At 39.9% G+C, this 20,870-nt stretch overlaps 1 protein-coding gene across 5 annotated transcripts in view, besides 2 other annotated features; it reads left to right on the top strand.

The window, feature by feature from the left end:
* The window catches only part of HMCN1 (hemicentin 1), a 456,559-nt gene that overhangs the window by 208,274 nt on the left and 227,415 nt on the right, over positions 1-20,870 (top strand). For 4 of the 5 annotated variants that reach the window (NM_031935.3, XM_011510038.4, XM_024450118.2 and 1 more), the window contains exon 12: positions 19,854-19,995. In NM_031935.3, coding sequence (NP_114141.2) covers positions 19,854-19,995 — 142 coding nt within the window. Of the gene's footprint in view, positions 1-19,853; positions 20,003-20,870 lie in introns of those variants that run through there. The other variant, XM_017002437.2, reaches the window with a different exon arrangement.
* Positions 5,629-6,544: an enhancer, noted in NCBI's record as "OCT4-NANOG hESC enhancer chr1:185917425-185918340 (GRCh37/hg19 assembly coordinates)". NCBI's record gives its function as "activates a minimal SCP1, AML or CMV promoter by ChIP-STARR-seq in primed H9 embryonic stem cells {active_cell/tissue: H9 hESC(primed)}" and the evidence as "EXISTENCE:reporter gene assay evidence [ECO:0000049][PMID:30033119]".
* Positions 10,992-11,830: an enhancer, noted in NCBI's record as "OCT4-NANOG hESC enhancer chr1:185922788-185923626 (GRCh37/hg19 assembly coordinates)". NCBI's record gives its function as "activates a minimal SCP1, AML or CMV promoter by ChIP-STARR-seq in naive and primed H9 embryonic stem cells {active_cell/tissue: H9 hESC(naive and primed)}" and the evidence as "EXISTENCE:reporter gene assay evidence [ECO:0000049][PMID:30033119]".

Raw genomic sequence — 20,870 nt, forward strand, 5'->3', positions numbered from 1 at the left:
AATCTCCAACTCTCTAGGCCCCAACTGGGTGTCCATCAATTTAATTCAATTCAGAAATCAACTCATTTAGCATGAGACCCCACAGGTTAAGGGGTTAATCCCACAAAACTGCACCTACTTTAAATGCCAAACACAAGCCCTGGGCTTCCTATACTTCTGATCAAGCAGGTATAAATCAAGGGTTCCCATAACCACTTATTCAGGTTCAATAATTTGCTAGAATGGCTGACAGAACTCAAGAGGCATTTTATTTACTTTTTTTTTTTAATAATGGATACTGCAAGAGGGGGAAAAAAAGCTGTTTTTCCCTCTACTCACATACCACTCAATACAACATTTCTGACATAGGATGTTTGCCAGTTTATTAATGAGGATATCATAAAGGACACAGAGAAGCAGCCAGAGGAAGAGATACATAAGACAGGGTCTTGGAAGGATCTGGATGGCAGGAGCTTCTGTCCCCATGGAGTTGGGTTGTGCTACTCTCCTGGCACTTAAGTAAAGTGTTTTCCTGCGCTCCGAGAGCTACTCTACAAATTGATTGAACCTGACAAGGCGGTTGTGGGAACTCTTGATTTACAGCTGGTTGGTCAGAAGTATAGGCGACAAACTATGACTTATGATTGGTATCTGAAATGGAGGCACTTCACTCCTTGTGGGAATGAGCCCTTAACCTGTGGGACCTGATGCTACCTCCAGGTAGATAGTGTCAGAACTGAATTAAATTAGAAGATACACAACCGTTGTCTGCTGTAGAATTGCTTGGTGTGTAAGGAAATACCCCCATACATCTGGTGTCAGAAATATTCTGTTGAGTGGTATTAGAGTAGAGGGAAAAAATAGTTTTTTCCTTCCTTGTAGATATGACTCAGGTACAGTCAGATGGAAGTCGTGCATTGTACAAAGTATATGGGAGGTGGGCAGCATGGAACTTTCATGCCCTCTTCAGCCATTACACCCTCCCAGCACCTCAATGTGTTCAACAGCCCAGAAGCTCTCTGAAGCCCATAGTTTAGTGTTTGTATAGAAGTTCCATTATGTAGGCAGGATTAAATCATTGGCTGTTTGGTTATTAACTCAATCTCTAGCTTCAGTATTCTACCCAGAGGTGAGGGGATGGGGATGAAATTTCCAACCCTGTAACCCTTCGTCTTTCTGGTGACCAGCACCCATCCTAATGCTATCTAAGAACCCGCCATCCCCCAGTCATTTATTAGCATACAAAAGACACTCATCACTCAGGAGATTCCAAGGGTTTTAGGAACTCTGCAAGGAATCAGGACAAAGACCAGATATATGTTTTTTATATCACAAGATCACATTATTGCCCCAAGGAAATAGAATCTCTGAAGGATTACCGACTTTTCCTAGGTTACAAAGCCAGCAAGTGGCAGAGTACATATCTGAGCTAGTTATTTCCATTATTCTGCATTGTATACAGAAGTTTCTAGATATGCTATTAACAGCTCTAAAGAACAGGTAGATAAAGGAAAGTGGGAAAAAAAAAAGAAAATAAATGAAGGGTTCTTGGGTATTAACAGATAAATGAGAGTACTTACCAAAAACCCTATGTTCTCGCTTATAAGTGCAAGCTAAGCTGTGAGTACACAAAGACATACAGAAGGATAAGATTGACTTTGAAGACTCAGAAGGGAGAGGGTAGGAGAGAGGCTAGGGATAAAAACACTCAGGTGATGGGTGCACTAAAATCTCAGAATTTACCACTGTATAATTCATCCATGTAACAGAGATCCACTTGTACCCCAAAAAATATTGAAGTAAAACTTAATTAAGAAAAATAGAAAAGGTACAAAGTGGATGCAAGTCCCTATCTTGTGAGTAAAGAAGATGGAAATGACAGCATTGTGTGTAATCACAGCTCAATTTTAATTCCCTACCACTCTTACTCCTCCTTTCTCTAGAGCTTTATAGAATGGCCCAGGTATATGGCAACAGTTTGGTGAATCCTTTGACTTAAACTGTGGTAGAGTAGCTGCTAAGGAGAGTTCTGGAGGAGAGGGAGCTGTAAATATGCTACCCAAACAAGCATGCAGACAAAATATAAGATGACTAGACAGTATACTCCATTAAGTCAGAGCTAGATTTTATTCAGTTTTGTGTCTTCAGTGTGTAACATAATACTTAGTACCCAATATTGCATGCAGTGCATGTCTGTGGGAAGACAATGAGAAGCAGAGTGTTTAGGCGTAAGAACTTTTGCAAGTATGGAAGCTATTTATGTCCGAATGTGTACTAAAAAATTTTGGTTCAAATTTCCCCTAAACATTGTTTAATATTTTTTGTGTTGCTATTTTATAAATTAATTGTCCAACTAAGAAATAAATTATATTACTAAAGATTAGATATTTGTTGTATATAATAACATAAATAACTTGTTATTTTTAATATATGATGAAGGGGCTATGATATTTGACTATTATAAATAAAAATTGAATTAGAGCTAATATTACAAAGGAGGAATATTTATTTACTGCATCTGAAGAAAGGTGTGATATGTCAGAAACATTTGGTTAATGAGAATGCAAAACTGGTAGATAAGGATTATGACAATGAGATCTTTATTTATGCTATGCCCCTAGGCACTACCTCATTCATACTATGTAGTAGGAATATATTTTTTCCATAATAACAAAACAAATAGTTAAACACATGAAGTGTTTAACATTACAAACCCTTGCTAGAAAAGGTTAGAGCTGGTGTCTTATTTGTTCATTTGTTTGTACATTTATTTATTCACAAAAAAAATTGTCAGGCTTTGTGCTTCTTGCTGATGATATAAATGAGGAGAAAACAACATCCATCTCCTCAAAAAGCCTATAAAGTAATAAAGGAAATTAGGCAATAACACAAATAAATATTTACAATACGATGTCATAAGAGCCATATTAGGGTGCTACCGGAGCTTTTAATTCTGTCTCAGAGTGATGAGTAGAGATTGAGAAGGGCTTTGCAGAGGTGATTATGCCTCAGGTATCCACTAGAAGATGACTAAAAGGTAGAAGTCTTTGCTAGGAAGAAGTCAGGACAGTCTGTTCAGATGGAGAAAACTACATGTGCAAAGCAACAAAAGAATGAGAACACAGACACATGGGCTTGCTAAGAGTGGAGGACCCAGCAGAACAGTGAGATCCAAACCCATAATGATGTGATTTTCTTTTCACTCTTGTCTTTAGTAGTCTTTTGATATAGAATTGGAGGAATCATTTGGTTTTGTGGTTTTGTGGAATTGGTTCAGCAAAAAGACAAGGTAACTTGAAAAAACAGTGATTGCAGTTATGCTCTGGGAGATTTAGGCTGGATGAAAAAGGAAGAAAAGGCTAAAAGCATGGTCTGATACACTGGAATAAAAAAGGAAGTTCAAAGTGGTGACCATGATGAAGTTGAAGGAAGAAGTGTGGGAGTCAGGGAATGACAGCTGGAAGGATGGGAGATTGTGAACCTCAGACTGAACTTCCAAGGCAAGCGTTCTTCCAGCTACATTATGGTTGCTTCCCTGATAGATACTAAGGTAGCAGATAAATTTATCTATCAACATACGTTAAAGGCTAGATTTTTTAGTCTTTCCTTCAAGAAGTGCTGTGTAGATCCACTTTCATATGATTTTGATTCTGGGACTTTTACGTATTTATGTGAAATTATCCCTTTTTTGAGCACTATAACCAACTTTTGATAGGCAAAATATGTTGCTGTTATTCAGTCTGTATTAGGAGACACATGTACATATGTGTAAAACTTCAGAAGTCTCCTTCTAATATGCCAGGAAGTAATGGTGCTAATTATGATTTGCCACTCTTTTCTAAGCCAAATGGGAAGGCAAGTCTAAACTTTGGCCTTTCTGTCTTATTTGAAAATTCTGTGATTTTGGGAAATTGTTATAAATCAGATGCAGTAAAGAAAAGGCTGTGTGATAATCAGTGCTTGTCATCATTTAGTTGAAAGTTTTCTAAGTGAGAAAAAACAAGACTTCTTAAAATTTCATTCTTCCTATCAACCATATTTTTTGTCTTCACCTGCTTTGGCTAATTACCCAAAGAAGCTGCTAAGTTCACGACTTTTTTGTTAAGGAAAGAAAAAATAGTATTAAGTGGAAACATTGTTGACATACAAAATTTTGTACTAAGAGTTACTGAAAATGGATAATAAGGAGGCAAACCTTTGCCATGTATATATACATCCTTACAACCTATACTGGGGAAACAGAAACTAGATTCTTAAGAAAAGAAATCTTGATGCATATTTGCCATTAAGAGTCTGTCATTAAAATCTAATCTAGCACTTATTTATCATTAATATCCCTGAAACTGTTGCTCTTCTCTTATTAACTGAATTTTATAACCATAATGGTGTTTGAAATGTGGAATTCTTTTTTGTTGGCAGGGGTTGTGGGGGGCGGGTAAATCCAGCATATAACTGCCAAGATAGATTTTGCGTAGTTCTTTGCTTGGGTGTTTTGTTGCCAATGTCCCACCTACTGGTAAGGCAATTAGCAATCTTCCCTCTGAGATTTAATAGACCTTTGTAGTTTAGGGTTGTCCAATAGGACTTTCTGCAATGATGGAATTATTTTCCATCTGTACTGCTCATGTGGCAGCTGCTAACTACGTTTCACAATTGAACACTTGAAATATGGCTAGTGTACCCAAGGAACTCATTTGGAATTTGATTTGTAAATTTGAATTTAAGTAAACCTATGTGGATACAGATGTGGCTACCATATTTGACAGTACAGCTCTAGTCTTCTATACAAAGAAGAAAGGCAGAAATAACAAGAGAAGAAGTTTTAGGAAACTTACTGCAACTGCCACATTGATAAACCATGATCATAATTTACTTAATTATTGCCACTCAGAAATAACTCCACCATTTTGAAGAGGTGGTTCTCGTATTCCCATTGATGAGATATCATTTGCAAATGTCACATCTGATTCCATTTGGGATTTCAGTGGCCCTTGCTTCCTTCCCAAGGCAACTGATATTTTGTTGTTTATTTTGGTTTGTTTGGTTGATTGGTTTTAGTTTTCATTTTTTTCTCTTTGGAAGAAATCCCTGGCCACTTAAGAGGAACTCTTTAGAGCCATGTGAAAAGTTAAAAATGTTTAAATGTATTCATTGCCATTTACGCTAGTTGAAAATTACAGAAAAGTTATGTGAACAAGCACATTTGTCCATTGTAAATCATTCTTAGTGAGATTTTGTATTTTTCATTGTGCTAGTTTCACGTGGAAAAGTTAGCACTAGAACTTGCTGGACTTACCTCCCTAATCAGAAATGAAAATGCATTTGAAAACAATGTCAATGTTTTAAATAAGCTGATTGACCTAAATCAGTAGGCACACTGTTAGGATGGGATATAGCTACTAATTACAATTATCAGCAGGCTCAATGATAGTCATTATGTAACTTTTTGAAGTTAACTTTTTCTATAGGAAATATAGATACTTAGAAGGATCAGAGATCCTGTAAAACACATTTACAGGCTATACAACTCAATAGAAATTAGTTCCCTTAATTAAATTCGAATGTTCTTTCAGTTTCTCATGTAGCATTGCTTGATGTTAGAGCATTGGACATTTTCAGGAATATATTACCCATTTCATGCGTGTCCATGTGAACAGACCACCAAACAGGCTTTGTGTGAGCAACATGGCTGTTTATTTCACCTGGGTGCAGGTGGGCTGAGTCCGAAAAGAGAGTCAGCAAAGGGAGATAGGGGTGGGGCCGTTTTATAGGATTTGGGTAGGTAAAGGAAAATTACAGTCAAAGGGGGGTTGTTCTCTGGTGGGCAGGAGTGGGGGTCGCAAGGTGCTCAGTGGGGGTGCTTTTTGAGCCAGGATGAGCCAGGAAAAGGACTTTCACAAGGTAATGTCATCACTTAAGGCAAGGACCGGCCATTTACACTTCTTTTGTGGTGGAATGTCATCAGTTAAGGTGGGGCAGGGCATATTCACTTCTTTTTTGATTCTTCAGTTACTTCAGGCCATCTGGGCATATATGTGCAAGTCACAGGGGATGCGATGGCTTGGCTTGGGCTCAGAGGCCTGACATTCCTGCCTTCTTATATTAATAAGAAAAATAAAACAAAATAGTGTTGAAGTGTCGGGGCGGTGAAAATTTTTGGGGGGTGGTATGGAGAGAGAATGGGCGATGTTTCTCAGGGCTGCTTCAAGCGGGATTAGGGGCGGCGTGGGAACCTAGAGTGGGAGAGATTAAGCTGAAGGGAGGTCTTGTGGTAAGGGGTGATATTGTGGGGTTGTTAGAAGAAGCATTTGTCGTATAGAATGATTGGTGATGGCCTGGATACGGTTTTGGATGAATTGAGAAACTAAATGGAATAACAGAAGGAGAAAAACAGGTATAAAAGGTCTAAGAATTGGGATGACACAGGATATCTGATTAGAGAGTGCCTAAGGAGATTCAGCATAGTCCTGCCAGCAAAGATTATTTATTTACTTCAAGAGTTAAGAGTGGCAGTTTGGGGATAGCACCAGGAGATATCAGCTGTGATGGCTTGGAAAAACAGTGTAAACCGGCAGTGTAAACAAGAGCAGGGCATGTATGAGTAGTTGAGAACGGTGAATATGAGTATGACTAGACAGAAGATAGTAGGGATGACAAGTTTTTTTGGGCACAGTCTAAGTTGGTCTGGTGTCTGGAATGAGACTGGGGCCTAATAAAAAGGAGCGTGTATACAGGAGCTCAAATGGGCTGTACCCTGTAGCATTCCGAGAACAGGCCTGAATTCTGAGAAGGGAAAGTGGTAAAAGTATTGTCCAGTCCTTTTTAAGTTGGTGGCTGAGCTTGGTGAGGTGTGTTTTTAAAAGACCTTTAGTCCATTCTACTTTTCTTGAAGACGGAGGACCGTAAGGGATATAAAGGTTTCACTGAATACTAAGAGCCTGAAAAACTGCTTGGCTGATTTGACTAATAAAGGCTCATCTCTTATCAGACTGTATTGAGGTGGGAAGGCTAAACTGAGGAATTATGTCTGACAGAAGGGAAGAAATGACTGTGGTGGCCTTCTCAGACCCTGTAGGAAAGGCCTCTACCTATCCAGTGAAAGTATCTGCCTAGACTAAGAGGTATTTTAGTTATCTGACTCGGCATGTTGAGTAAAGCTAATTTGCCAGTCCTGGGTGGGGCAAATCCTGGAGCTTGATGTGTAGGGAAGGGAGGGGGCCTGAATAATCCCTGAGGAGTAGTAGAATAGCAGATGGAACACTGAGAAGTTATTTCCTTGAGGATAGATTTCCACGATGGAAAGGAAATGAGAGGTTCTAAGAGGCGGGCTAGTGGCTTGTACTATAGCATAACCTGCCTTTGCTGGTGTGTGGCGATTAGGCCTGGTGGAACTGCCATCAATAAATCAAGCGTGATCAGGGTGAGGAACAGGAAAGAAGGAAATTTGGGGAAATGGGGTGAATGTCAGGTGGATCAGAGAGATACAGTCATGGGGGTCAGGTGTGGTATCGGGAATAATGTGGGAGGCCGGATTGAAGTCTGGGCCAGGGACAACGGTAATTGTGGGAGACTCAACAAAGAGTGAGTACAGCTGAAGGAGCCGGGAAGCAGAAAGTATATGCGTCAGGTATGAGGAAGAAAATAGATTTTGGAAGTTATGAGAACTGTAGAGAGTGAGTTGAGCATAGTTTGTGATTTTGAGAGCCTCTAAAAGTATTAAAGCAGTGGCAGCCGCTGCACGCAGACATGAGGGCTAGGCTAAAACAGTAAGGTCAAGTTGTTTGGACAGAAAGGCTACAGGGAGTGGTCCTGGCTCTTGTGTAAGAATTCTGACCGCGCTAACCATGCCTAGGAGGGAAAGGAGTTGTTGTTTTGTAGAAGGTGCTTGGGTTTGAGAGATCAGTCGGACACAATTGGCAGGGAGAGCACGTGTGTTTTTATGAGAATTATGCCGAGATAGGTAACAGATGAGGAAGAAATTTGGGCTTGAGTGAAGTAATGGGGGCTGTCTGTGAAGCTTTGCAGCAGTACAGCCTAGGTAATTTGCTGAGCTTGATGGGTGTCAGGGTCAGTCCAAGTGAAAGCGAAGAGAGGCTGGGATTAAGGGTGCAAAGGAATAGTAAAGAAAGCATGTTTGAGATCCAGAACAGAATAATGGGTTGTAGAGGCAGGTATTGAGGATAGGAGAGTATATGGGTTTGGCACCATGGGGTGGATAGGCAAAACAATTTGGTTGATAAGGTGCAGATCCTGAACTAACTTGTAAGGCTTGTCTGGTTTTAGGACAGGTAAAATGGGGGAATTGTAAGGAGAGTTTATAGGCTTTAAAAGGCCATGCTGTAGCAGGCGAGTGATAACAGGCTTTAATCTTTTTAAAGCGTGCTGCGGGATGGGATATTGGTGTCGAGTGGGGTAAGGGTGATTAGGTTTTAATGAGATGGTAAGGGGTGCATGATCGGTCACCAAGGAGGGAGTAGAGGTATCTTATACTTGTGGGTTAAGGTGGGGGGATACAAGAGGAGGACGCAAAGGAGGCTTTGGATTGGGAAGAAGGGCGGCAATGAGATATAGCTGTAGTCCAGGAATAGTCAGGGAAGCAGATAATTTAGTTAAGGTGTCTCAGCCTAATAAGGGAACTGGGCAGGTGGGGATAACTAAAAAGGAGTGCTTAAAAGAGTATTGTCTAAGTTGGCACCACAGCTGGGGAGTTTTAAGAGGTTTAGAAGCCTGGCCGTCAATACCCACAACAGTTATGGAGGCAAGGGAAACGGGCCCTTGAAAAGAAGGTAATGTGGAGCGGGTAGCCTCTGTATTGATTAAGAAGGGGATGGGCTTAACTTCCACTGTGAGAGTTACCCGAAGCTCAGTGTCCATGATGGTCTAGGGGGCTTCTGAGGCGATCGGGCAGTGTCAGTCTTCAGCCGCTAAGCCGAGAAGATCTGGGAAGGAGTCAGTCAGAGAGCCTTGGGCCAGAGTTCCAGGGGCTCTGGGAGTGGCTGCCAGGTGAGTTGAACAGTCCGATTTTCAGTGGGGTCCTACACAGATGGGACGTGGCTTAGGAGGAATCCCGGGCTGAGGGCATTTCTTGGCCCAGTGGCCAGATTTCCGGCACGTGTAGCAAGCTCCTGGGGGAGGAGGTTCTGGAGGAACGCCTGGCTGCTGCGGTTCAGGCATTTGGAAGTTCTTGTGTGCTGGAGATGTGGCTGGGGTTTGTCTCACAGTGGAGGCAAGGAATTGCAACTTTTTTCTGTTATTGTACACCTTGAAGGTGAGGTTAATTAAATCCTGTTGTGGGGTTTGAGGGCCGGAATTTAATTTTTGGAGTTTTATTTAATGTCGGGAGCAGATTGGGTAATAAAATGTATTTTGAGAATAAGACGGCCTTTAGACCTTTTAGGGTCCAGGGCTGTAAAGCGTTTCAGGGTTGCTGCCAAACGAGCCATGAACTGGGCTGGATTTTTATATTTGATGAAAAAGAGCCTAAACGCTATCTGATTTGGGATAAAGAAAAAGGAGCATTAACCTTGACTATGCCTTTAGCTCCAGCCACCTTTTTAAGGGTAAATTGCTGGGCAGGAGGGGGAGGGCTAGTCACGGAATGAAACTGTAAGCCGGACCAGGTGTGAGGAGGGGAGGTGATAAAAAGATTATAGGGTGGAGGAGCAGAGGCTGAGGAAGAATTGGGACCTAGCTCGGCCTGGAGAGGAGCAGCCTGGGGAGGAAGGGAGAGGTCAGATGGGTCTGTAGAAAAGGAAGATTAGAAAGACTCAGCGACGCTTGGGGTTGGTACTGAGGGGACAGGTGGGAGGGAAAGAAGGAAGATTTGGGACGAGTTGCACTGGTCACAGAGACTAGGAAGGGACTGATGTGTAAAAGAATGCCTGGACGTCAGGCACCTCAGACCATTTGCCCATTTTATGACATTTGCCCATTTCCATCTTGTAGGATGGAAAAATTTTAAGTGCCATTTTCCGGCTATTTGGAACTACTGTCGAGTTTGTATTGGGGTCAAGCGGCATTGCAGAAGAAAATAAGATGCTTAGATTTTAGGTCAGGTGAGAGTTGAAGAAGTTTTAAGTTCCTAAGAATATAGGCTAAGGTAGAAGAAGGAGGAATGGAAGGTGGAAGCTTGCCCATAGTGAAGGAGGCAAGCCTAGAGAAAAAGAGTAGAGACACGGAGAAGGGGTAGGGGTTTCTTGCCCTCCAGAAAAGCAGAGAAAGGATTGGGACACGGAAATAAGGAATTGGGGCACAGAGATAAGAGGTTGGGGTGCAGAAATAAGGGATTGGGGCACAGAGATAAGAGGTTGGGGTGCAGAAATAAGGGATTGGGGCACAGGGATAAGAGGTCAGGGTGTGGAAATAAGGGATTGGGGGGTTTTTGCCCCCTAGAAAAGCGGGACTTGCCACTAAGGGTGAAGGAGAAGGGGTTGAGGGGTACTTGCCCCTCCCCCAGAAAAGCGGGACTTGCCACTAAGGGTGAAGGAGAAGGGGTTGAGGGGTACTGAGGGGTACTTGCCCCTCCCCCCAGAAAAGCAGAGAAGGGATAGAGACAAGGAGAGAAGGGGTTGGGATACTTGCCATTTCCCCAGAAAAGCAGAGAAGGGGTAGAGAGAAGGGGTTGGGGTACTTGACCCTTCCCCAGAAAAGCAAGACTTGCTGCTAAGGGTGAAGGACCAAGGCAGGCGTCCCTGCATGGTCTGACACCCTTGAAACGTGGGTGAATGATCAGAGAGGCGTCCCTGCAATGATTAAACACCAGGGGAAGTCTGCCTTCCCAGTCCATGACCGGCACCGGAGTTTTGGGTCCACGGATAAAACGTGTCTCCTTTGTCTCTACCAGAAAATACCAGAAAATGAAAGGAATTGAAATTAAGAGAAGGGAGAGATTGAAGTGTGGCGCCAAGATTGAAAGGAGAAAGAGGTTGAAGGATAGGGAGGTTGGAGAAGAGAGTAAAAAGAGGCCACTTACTGGATTTGAAATTGGTGAGATGTTTCTTGGGCTGGTCGGTCTGAGGACCTGAGGTAGTAGGTGGATCTTTCTCACGGAGCAAAGAGCAGGAGGACAGGGGATTGAACTCCCAAGGGAGGTCCCCCGATCCGAGTCACGGCACCAAATTTCATGCGCATCCGTGTGAAGAGACCACCAAACAGGCTTTGTGTGAGCAACATGGCTGTTTATTTCACCTGGGTGCAGGTGGGCTGAGTCCGAAAAGAGAGTCAGCAAAGGGAGATAGGGGTGGGGCCGTTTTATAGGATTTGGGTAGGTAAAGGAAAATTACAGTCAAAGGGGGGTTGTTCTCTGGTGGGCAGGAGTGGGGGTCGCAAGGTGCTCAGTGGGGGTGCTTTTTGAGCCAGGATGAGCCAGGAAAAGGACTTTCACAAGGTAATGTCATCACTTAAGGCAAGGACCGGCCATTTACACTTCTTTTGTGGTGGAATGTCATCAGTTAAGGTGGGGCAGGGCATATTCACTTCTTTTTTGATTCTTCAGTTACTTCAGGCCATCTGGGAGTATATAAGTGCAAGTCACAGGGGATGCGATGGCTTGGCTTGGGCTCAGAGGCCTGACAACCCATAATGAAAAATATATTTGTGAACATAATAACAGTTCCTATTATGTTTTCAGAAATATAAATTAATTTGGTGGTTTGGTTGAATGTGGGTTTTAACTGTCTCCATATTAGAGTACTTAGGTTTCGTTGTGAGAACTCAAGTAAGAAAAAAACTTAACAGTAAATATTAATCAATGGAGTATCTTTCTTCTCCTGAGTACTGTCAATTCCTTATTGCATAAACGTATCACTAGGAACACTGAGAGAAGCTTGAGAATTTTCCACCACAGAGATCAATAGGCAGCTGTGAGATGCTTTTTTCCAAAAGGTAAGGCCTTTTTAAACAACAATCAACAATTGTTGATCCTCTAGATTCCTTTTGACCACAAATCCTTTTAGAGGGAAAATAAAAACATCTAAAAATGTATGACCCCACTTAAAAAAATACTGACAGCTATGGAGATAAAAATCCTTGGGTTGCTGATTTGTTAATTGCTTCTTGGGGTAATGAAAGAGCCCTAGACTGGCAGTCAGGGCACTTAGGATCTCTTTTCAGTAATCATACCTTACTTCTCTCTCTCTACTCTCTTTTCCCCAGACCACACCTAACAATATATCAATTTTTTAAAAATGGAATTTCTTATGCCCTCTTTATTTATGGACATGTATGTCCATAATGGGAGACGTTTTCTTTGGACTGATGCTTGAATCAGTGGGTGCTTGGCATTGCTGATAGGGATCAGTGTAAATGAGCTATTGTAAAATTTAGAGTTCAGTGGAACTATCCCCCAGGTAATAGTATTTTTAGATTAAGGTCCCTTCCCCTTTTTCTGTGCATGGTTAGGTCAATATTTCTCTGTCTCTCATATCACTCCTTTCCTCCTCATAGCCACTGACACCATGCTCATCCAACTCAAACTAAGCTATTAGAATCCTCTTTTTATGGACTTACTTTCTTTTAGAATGGGGACTTTCTTCCCCCATTCCAATCCATCTTCCACTGGGCAACCGAGTGAATTTTCCCTAAATATTGTTTTAACTGTTCATTCATTGAAAACCTTTTTGTGCTTTTCTAATTACCCCAGAATAAAATTTACACTCCTCTGTCCACAAACTAACTCCTACACAATTCTTTTAACATTTAATCCTGAATTGTATCCTCATAAAGCAATGCATAGAGAAAAAAAAGAAATAAAAATTTTTCCTTTCAATATGTGAGTACTATGTATCTTCAAAGAATAAGGTAGCCATACATCTTTTCTTTATGCATGTTTCCTTAAATGGGTAACTGAATATTTGAACTTGCTATTGATATTAAGCCTCTATGTGTAACTAATTCTGAATTATAGGTAGACAAGTTGTCAGATTAATTCTTTCATATCATAAAATATTATTGATGCTGCTAATTTTATAGTCATACTACTGTTAGGCAGGTAATTTTGGGTATCTATGGGTTTTGAATTTTCTCAGTAATGAATTTCTCAAAAGAATGGATAGGTGTTGCTCTTGTCCTGTCTTTGGCTGCCAGAGCTGAACTTTTGATGGCCACGGAACATTTTCTCTGTCAGCCTCTATGTCCATTACACCTTCAAAGGTGTGCTGTTTCCTACTGCTTGACCCTAGCCCTTCTTTCATTACTTTTCATCCTTCCGTGATTTGTCCCAACTCCAGTTTACATTACTTGAGTCATAGAGGTATCCTCACTGCCTCCAAATGTTATCATTCTTATTCTAGTTCTATTATCCCTATCTAAATTCTACCTATAATGTGAAGCATCTCATAAACCACTGCCTTTCTGATATTGGTCTCTTTGTTCGGTTATCCTCTAGAACTTATTTTTGCCACAAAATTTTGCACTTAATCACGTGTTTAGTCATTATTAATCATATTATATATACACTGTGAGATACTTATTGTCTATTAGAGATACAGGAAAAGTCAAAGTGTATCTTTCCCATTCCATATACCGAACTTCACTTCTGACATCAGATATGTGGGATTTTTTTTTCCCTCATACACCAAGCAGTTCTCCAGCAGACACCAGCCAGGTGATCCTCCAATTCATTTCTGAAACTATCTAGATCCCACAGATTGAAGGCTCCGTCCTGCAAGATGGTCCACCCACTTCTGATGCCAATTGCAAACTGTAGGTTGTGATCTGTGCTTCTGACTGGCTATAAATCAGGGTTCCTACAACCCCCTCCTGGAGTTTGATTAATTTGCTAGAGTGGCTCACAGAACCCAGGGACACACTTTACTTTTACTCATTTATTATAAAGGATATTACAAAGAATACAGATGAACAGCCATAGGGTGAGGTATGGTAGAAGTGGCACAGAGCTTCACACCATCCTCCAGGAACCTCTATGTGTTCAGCTATTCTCTGCATGTTTAGCTATTTCAGAAGCTCTCTGAACCCTGGCTTTTTTTTTGGTTTTGGTTTTTATGGAGATGTCCTTCTGTAGACATGATTGATTACATCACGGGCCATCAGTGATCATCGCTGCCTTCATCTCCTCTCCCTTCCCTGGATTTTGAGGGTGGGGTTGGAAGTTCCATCCTGCCTTGATCTTTCTGGTGAATTAGCCCCATCCTGAAGCCCTCTGGGGACCCCCAGTCACCAATCATCTTATTAGCATGCAAAAGAAACTTTTATCACTACTGAGATTCCAAGGATTTTAGTAGCTGTATGTCAGGAAATGGGACAAAGACAAAATATATATTTCACGATATCACATTGTCATTTTTTAAACCCATAGTGCCTTGCACAGAGGGAAAAACATAATTGCACCCAATAGATGTATAATTCCTTAATTGCTGAATAAACCTCAGTGTAACAATAACACTGTAGGGAAGTCTGGGTCATTACCCTTATCTATCATGTTTCCATGTTAACTTCAATGGGTTATTTGAATCACATCAGCAGTTAGAAATGTCATTATGTAAGTACTTTCTTGTCCAGTTCCAGCACAAGCCAGCATATTACTGCTTGCATTTAAAATCATATTTTAGAACAAAATCTGGTAATTATCTCATGAAAAATTCATAGTTGTTATTTTTAAAGTATTGTTTATATTAATTCACCCCAATTTAGAAACAAAATGTGAGTGAGTTTTGCAAAATTTTACAAAATAGGCTAAAGCAATTTGTCACTGTTGAGTTGATACAGTGGCTGCTTAATTTTCAAATGCTTATACTGCTTCTGAGTAAAGGTTACATAAGTGTGGGAGAGAAGGGGACGTTTTTATATATATAGTAGGAGTTAAAGGTTTTGTTTAAGATTGTTTTCCTGTTTATCTGACAACAGAAATAGTTTTCTGTTGATTCCACTAGTTGTTCCCTTATGAGGAGGATTTTTGAGGCTGGAGATCAACCCAGGAGTCCTTGTTCAATCTGAGCATATTCAGTGTGTAGCTGACATCTCCTGCATAATCACATGTTGTGACATGGAAATCAAAGTGCCAGACAAAGCCTCCTTTTCTCCTTGATGTTTTTCTGTATGAACATTAGAAGTAATAATTTGTCTTCTATGGTATCAGGAAAGGGTGGATGTCTGTCATTAATTAGGCCACGTCACCAGAGAGAATATTGCAACAAAAAAGGAAATATTTCTCAAGATGGTTGATGAAGTCAGTATTTAATGATGAGAATTACTTCACTAAGTATGAAAATAATATTATAACCACATGCTCATTATATTATAACTCTTTTTAACATGTGCCACGTGACATGGTAAGTAGCATGCTTTTTCCATTAGTAAAACAGAGGAAAAAAATCTAATTTTATCTATTTTATTGAAATTTCTAGTAAATTTTAAGTATCTAGAAATATTTCAGATTTCAGAAGAATTAAATAAGATATAACAAATATTGTTTATAAATAGGGTATATAATCTTTTTTTTGAGAAAGGGTCTTGTTCACACCCAAACTGGAGTGCAGTGATGCAATCTTGGCTGACTGCAACTTTTGACTCACTGCAACCTTTGGCTCACTGCAACCTCTGCCTCCTGGGCCCAGGTGATCCTCCCACCTCAGTCTTCCAAAGTAGTAGCTGGGACTACAGGCATGCACCACCACACCAGGTTAATTTTTCTATTTTTAGTAGAGACGGGTTTTTGCCCTGTTACCCAGACTGGTCTTGAACTCCTGGGTTCAAGTGATCCTCCTGCCTTGGCCTCCGAAAATGCTGGGATTACAAGCGTGAGCCACCACGTACAGGCTGAAATAGGATATATAATCTAAATGACGTATGTAAGTGTGAGGATTGTGGTGATCAAATTTCATTTGTAAATGTCTAGATAGTACATATGCACAGATGTATTTTAAATGCTATAACTTTATTTGGTCATGCTTTGTCACACGTTGCTATATAGAGGAATACTGCTAATAATAGCAAAAGTTACATCGTGCCTACTACATGCCAGGCATTGTTCTAAGTGTTTTATGTATATTAACCTGGCTAGTCCATAATAATGCTATGAGGTAGGTACTATTATTTCCCATTAAGGTATAGACAGACACCATGGAGCAAGCAATGTCTGCATTTGAATTCCAGCTCCACCTTTGAGTGACTAGGCAAATTATTTAACCATTTTGAGCCATAGTTTATTTGTAAAATGGCAGTAACACTTGCTACATAGTATTATTGTGGAAAATAAATGGTGGGTCTAGAGTTAGATACCCGGCATGTAATAGGCACTGACGGAAGGAAAGCACCACTTTCCTATTTCAATGAACTGACTACTAGAAAGAGATTTAGTTCCTAATTTTACATAATATACTTTATAGTGTCTGTGAGATCTTTGAAGGCATAAAGTGTCTGAAACATTGTCGGTACTCAGTAAATGTTTGTTGGCTGAAAAAATGAAAACACACAGAAATTTGCCCAAGTACTCTAAATATACCAGTGGTGACAAATATTGCTAATTGTGACTTAGGTAATTAAATCATTTGCATTATCTAATTAATTTGTTGGTGGTAATTAAATAACCTTGAAGAAAAAGTCCTTAGGTATTTTCTCTGAGAAATTTCTTACCAGAAGCTTAAGAGCAACAAATCAGACCCAGCTGACAGGAAATGTGTCTCCTGAGCTTGAAGATAGTGTTGGCAGTTTCCAAGAGTTAGGTGAGACTTTTTCTTCCCTAGTTTTTGTAGGCAGTGAGATGGCTGTTTTCATGGCCACTTACACTTCATTTTTGCTAATCTGACCATTAATAGTGTATTAAGATACCCAATTCTTAAAGTAGTATTGGTTTTTATTTTATATTTATATTTAATTCTTCTAAATTATTGATAGGAAATTACAAAAACATGTATTTCGCTTTTGTTATAATTAAATAAAAAGCAAATTAATACCTTGCCCCCTAATAGAGTGCTGTGTTCCCATTGCTTTGGCTAGCAAAAGCAAGTTGTTCTTGATGATGATGATGTTGGTTGCTCATGGTGGTGGTGGTGGTGATGATAATGGTGATAATGATGATGGTGGTGATATGAGATTGGAAATCTCAAGTAAAAGTGGATTACTTCTCTCCAAAGCCTAAAATTGAACTCCGGACTTCTAAATCCAACATTAGTACTATTTTTTTTTCCCCTAACAGGATGGGGTTTTACATTGCAAATAAAGAGATGTAGACTCAGTTTGTTAGTTGGCAAATGATGTTACTTCATTGATGGAGTTGAACTGTGGTTCTTTAATTCCATGTTCTTGCTCCATTGAAACTACTTCATTAAAATGAGGAGGTTTTTCTAGGAATTAAAAAATTAGCAGTTGAAATAACTTAGTGAAATCTACTATATCATTATTTAACCTGATTAAGTAAAGTCTAATTCATTTTGACCATTTTCATTCAACTGTTATTTGGTAGAAATCTAATTTTGCTCCTCTGTATTTGTTCATGTTCTAAGTATCTTATCAGCAGGAATATTCTTTTTTTTTTTTTTTTTTTTTGAGACGGAGTTTTGCTCTTGTTCTCCAGGCTGGAGCTCAGTGGTGTGATCTTGGCTCACTGCAACCTCTGCCTCCCAGGTTCAAGCAATTCTCCTGCCTCAGCCTCCCAAGTAGCTGGGATTACAGGCATGCACCACCACGCCCAGCTAATTTTTGTATTTTTGGTAGAGACAGAGTTTCTCCATGTTGGTCAGGATGGTCTCAAACTCCCGACCTCAGTTGATCTGCCCGCCTCAGCCTCCCAAAGTGTTGGGATTACAGGCGTGAACCACCATGCCCGGCAATCAGCAGGAATATTCTAAGGCAATGGTAAATTTCTCACCTCCTGTGGGATGATGTCATCCCATCTGTGTGTTGCACACAGACTTATTTCATGACCCTGAGTAGCACCCTATGTCCAGGCTGTATTTGCTCAATGACCTCTTAGCTCTCTGCATCCTGGTTTGGGTAACTGACTTATTTTTACTTTGATATCTGAAATACAGAGCCTACCAGTGGGATTCTTGCTGGGAGAGATGCCAGGCCATTTCTGGCAGACTACATTGGAAGACACCAAGTTTGGACAAAAATTCTGAGAGTTGCTTGAATCTTTGCAGCAATTCCATGTCAATAGCTAGACACGAGAAGCATTTTATTTTAGGAAGATGGGACTGAATAAATGTGTGTTTCAATAAATTCCAAAGAGAAAGAACTGTTCATTTTTTTTCCCACTTATCCCCTGAAGATTATCTGCATCATCCCTACAGCATGTGTAGTCCTTCAGAATTTCAGAATTGATGGACTCCAGATGGAATCACAATTTGAACTTACTGGCCATATTCAGTCTGCCCTTGACCTCACACATTTCTCTAGCCCTATGCTCACCAACAAGAATCCGTGGAATAATGAGGCTATCAACCAAGTTCATGGACCGGAAAAAATCCTTTAAACATTAACTTCAAAGACTAGACCATAATTTGAAAAACACAATGTAAACAGGAAAAAAAGGGGAGGGGGACAATTGTAAGCTGCTAGCAATTAGGCACTAATTAGCTTCCTTCAGTTGTGTAGCTGCTGCCGCCCAGCATACCATTTGTATCTCTCACATGTATAGATTCCCCAAGCTGTTGGTTTCTTAGTGAAACTAAGCCACAATTTGCAGACTAACTTACAGGAAAGATATATCATAAATATATTCACATCTAACTGGCTAACTGAATTTCTCAATTTTATTTATAGTAAAAACCAAATTAAATGGAAAGCAGACAGCATGCCTGTTAGGTTCATCTGTGTGTCCCTGCAAGTTAGCACAGTGCCTGGCACATAATAATTATGCAAAAAGCAGATGTCATTGAATGAATTTATTTATTTTTGTTAATACTCATGAAAGCTGTCTGTTTCAAACACTGGAAATTAATTTACTTTTGTTTACCTTATTAAGTGGTAGATATTTACATTAGGAGCTACTTAATATCTCTTTGATGGTACCTTCTTTGAAGATTAATTCTTATTGTGTAATAATATAGATGTAAAACATGTAATCTATTAAAACAAATATATCAACATCCCAGAATTATCTCAGAGAATTGTTTTCTTTTTGATGATAAATTCCTGATTTAGTGTTCCATTTTCAAAAGTCTTTTTCCTGCCATAGAAGTGTAATGAAAGAGAAAGTTTGAATAACTGATTTTTTTTTTAAGTTGAGGTCCTGTGCATGCACGGACATGAGTCAAATGACCAGTGTAGCAGGATCTTGGGAGGGGCAGGCAGACATTACAATTCAGAGCCAAGTTACAGTTTAGGAAACTGCATTCCATCAAAAGTTTTAAGTGTCTTTTATATACAAGCCACTGCAATGATATGCAAGGGATGTTAAATGCTGTAGAATATAATCGAATATGGAATAATATGAGTACATGGTTTCTTATCATAACAAAGTTATGATCAAATAAATAAAAAGAAAGATCAGGTTGAACAAAGCAGACAGCATAGTCAGGACAAGTTGTGGCTCCAATCCTACATTCATTGTCTAGAAAGAGCCAAAAACTCTATTTAGAGACTTTGCCTGGGAACAGGTTTATAGGGAAGTGTCAGATTAGTGGCATAAACTGTAGGTCAGCTGGTGGAGGCAAGCCAGCAAGGGGCTTCATGGTAACCAGTGGAAACACAAAAATATAACATCGGGATCAAATTCATTTAACTTTCAAAGAGAGTTTACTTCCCTTGTTTTCATTACCATTGGTTTCTTTCCTGCCATATCTGTGATGGGGTTCATCCATAGAGGAAGGCAATAAAGATGTGGTGGTGAGAAACCTACAAATCTGCTAACATAGGAAGCTTCTAACATCAAGATAAATTGGCATTTTTCTACATACGTATATTTTTATTTGCAGAACCACCCAAAGTCACTGTGATGCCCAAGAATCAGTCTTTCACAGGAGGGTCTGAGGTCTCCATCATGTGTTCTGCAACAGGTTATCCCAAACCAAAGATTGCCTGGACCGTTAACGATATGTTTATCGTGGGTTCACACAGGTACTGGGTTTGTATCATGTTTTTGTTTTTATTGAGTGAGAAAAATTGATGAGACTTCTGGACCAAACTAATATGACCAAATCCCTAATATTAAGGGAGGTTTGACCACAATACTTAGCTTTACATTTTCTAAACAGGCTATGAATGTCAAAAATAATATAAATGATGACTTTATAAAGTTTGAGGTTATTGAGTCTTGAATTCAATAGCTGGGACCAAGTGCTTCCCAGTACTTTGAGCTGCAAATGTAGCACCAATCAGTTAGTTTAACTTGAGTAATTGAAACGAGGGTAATAAATTTTCTGTGAGGTAAAATAACATAGAATTTCAACAAATCTATTAAAGACATTGTCCTGGATTTAACAGAAGAGAGAGGTCAAGAACAGACCAGTAGCTCTAATTAAAATGTGTTCAGACATTCTTTGTCATTACTTCCATTTTTGCCAAACTACAGTGGGAAGTATTTTATTTCACTGGGTGCTTTTTAAAAGCATTGAATCCACTCATGCTCCTACAGTATAATAAACACGTGGAATATAAACAACAAAGTATCCAGCCATGGGGCTTCCATTACTCTGGGTTTGGCAGTGAAGAAGTCATACGTGTGATCCAGCCAGTTGAGCCAGATTCTATTCCTAAACGCCTTACAGACTCACTGTGTGACATGAGACATTACATCTCTAAGGTTTTCATTGTGATGAACCGTTTACTATAGCAATCCACCACATGGAGCAAGATTGCCGGGGTGCAAATTCCAGTTCTTCCATTTACTAACTCTGGCTTTGGGTGAGTTATGTAACCTCTTTGCTCACCTGTAAAACAGAGATATTAATAGTATTTAACTCATTAGGGTGAGGAAAATTTTTAGATTAAAA

This window comes from Homo sapiens, chromosome 1 (assembly GCF_000001405.40).
Source record: "Homo sapiens chromosome 1, GRCh38.p14 Primary Assembly".
Classification (NCBI taxonomy): domain Eukaryota; kingdom Metazoa; phylum Chordata; class Mammalia; order Primates; family Hominidae; genus Homo; species Homo sapiens.